Below are 2,306 nucleotides of genomic sequence, written 5' to 3'. Positions count from 1 at the left end.
TTTTTCTTGCCTATTTTCCTTGTCAGGTCTCAGTGGGTAGGCTGAGACCTATATGTAGGACTCATGTGAGTCCTATACATAGGACCAGCAGTAGGACACTTAGGTTGATCTCATATCTTGGCTATTGTGAATAGTGCTGCAATAAATATGGAAGTGTAGATATTTCTTTGATCTACTGATTTCCTTATTTTGGATATATACCCAGTAGTGGGATTGCTATGCTGGATCATATGGTAGTTCTACTTGTAGTTTTTTTTTTTCTTCTTTTTAAGAGAGCCCCATACTGCTTTCCATAAAGGCTACACTAATTTACATTCCCACCAACAGGAGAAACATGGGTTTTTGGTGCACCGGGAATGGTTCTGAGCCCTAACTGCACAGGAACATGTGGGTGGGGCTCTAAACTTATGTCAGTGCCTGGACCCCATCCCAGAATGTATGTACTTCTTTCTGTTTTTCTTTTTTTTTTTTTTTAGATGGAGTTTTGCTCTTGTTGTCCACGCTGGAGTGCAATGGTGCGATCTCAGCTCACCACAACCTCTGCCTCCTGGGTTCAAGTGATTCTCCTGCCTCAACCTCCCGAGTAGCTGGGATTACAGGCATGTGCCACCACGTCTGGCTAATTTTGTATTTTTAGTAGAGACAGGGTTTCTCCATGTTGGTCAGGCTGGTCTCGAACCCCCAACCTTAAGTGATCCGCCTGCCTCGGCCTCCCAAAGTGCTGGGATTACAGGCGTGAGCCACTGTGCCTGGCCGAGATTTCATCTCTTCAGAAACAGAGTTGAACTGGGACCCCATTTGGAGAAAGCTTGGGGCAGTGAGAAGCAAAGTGCAATCTGGTAGAATCTCTCAGTAGCTGGTTCCCTGGGCCACTTAACCTTTCTACGTCTCTCTCTCTCTCTCTCTCGATTTGTAAAACAGGAGCAATGATACTTACCTTGTAGGTAAGTGACATGCAGGCAGGTACTTAAAGTAAAGCAGTATATGAAAACTTCTAAGATATGAGGAAGCAGGAAATGACACTCACGGCTAACACATTCACTAGAGTTTTGTCTCTCTCTGTGTGTGTGTGATTATTTCTTCTTGGAATATGTCTTCAACTGTCAAAATCTCCTTACAATTCCAGATTAAACACCTTTGGTCTCTGATAGTCACAGCCAGGTTCCTACCTGGGAATAACTAAAAAATGTTCCACATGTAACAAACTGCAGCTTGAAGTTTCCGTTACATTGAGCAGTCCTGTGCATCTAGGTCTTCTGTTCAAGCGTGAAGTTTGATGAAGCTGCTCGAGCTCATGAAATCTGTAGTTGTCACAAGGCTTAGAGGGGCAGTTAATACCTAGATTTACTTTGTGGGACAAGTGCAGTGATGTATTTATAGTCTAGAATGACAATTGTACAAATACAGAATGGGCAGCACTTTACCTACTGATAAATTTGCATTAAATTTACAAACATGCAGGCACTGGGGCTGTAAAACGACACGAGGTTGTTCATTGACAGATGAATGGATAAACGAATTGTGGTACATCCACACAATGGAATAGTATTCAGCTTTGGAAAGGAAGGAGATTATGACACATGCTATAACATGGATGAACTTTGAAGACGTTATGCTGAGCAAAACATGCCAGTCACAGAGGGGAACATACTCTATGATTCCACTTATACGAGGGTCTAGAGCAGTCAAATTCATGGAGACAAAAAGTAGAATGGTGGGTGCCAGGGTCTCCGGGGAGGGACAGAAAGGGAGCTAGTGTTTAATGGGGGGACATCATTTCAGTTTGGAAGGATGAAGGTCTCTGGTGATGGATGGTGGTGATGGTGGCACAACAATGTGAATGGACTTAGTGCCACTGAAGTCTACACTTAGACATGGTGAAAACGGTAAATCTTGTGTTATGTGTAGTTCACTACAATTAAAAAAAAAAAGACAAGGAAGTCAGTCACAAAGGTTCACATATGACAGGAAGCCATTTCTATGAAACGCCCAGAGAGGTAAATCCATAGAGACAGAAAGTGCATTTGTGGTTTCCAGGGGCTGGGAGGAGGAGTAAATGGGGCGTGACTGCTAATGGGAGGAGGAGTCTTTGTGAGGATGATGAAATTCTTTTTGGAACTGGGTAGAGATGGTGGTTGCACAACATTGCAAATGTACTTAATGACACTGAGCTGTACACTTTAGAGTGGTTAAAATAGTAAATGTAATGTGATGTCTATTTCACCACAGTGAAAGCAACCCCCACCCCCGCAGTGTGCTGCAGATGTGCACCTGCAGGCAGGTGGTGTTTTCGTTCCCCGTTGCTG

This window comes from Homo sapiens, chromosome X (assembly GCF_000001405.40).
Source record: "Homo sapiens chromosome X, GRCh38.p14 Primary Assembly".
NCBI classification, from domain to species: domain Eukaryota; kingdom Metazoa; phylum Chordata; class Mammalia; order Primates; family Hominidae; genus Homo; species Homo sapiens.
The sequence above is the reverse complement of the archived record's forward strand: the minus strand, read 5'-3'. Positions refer to the sequence as shown.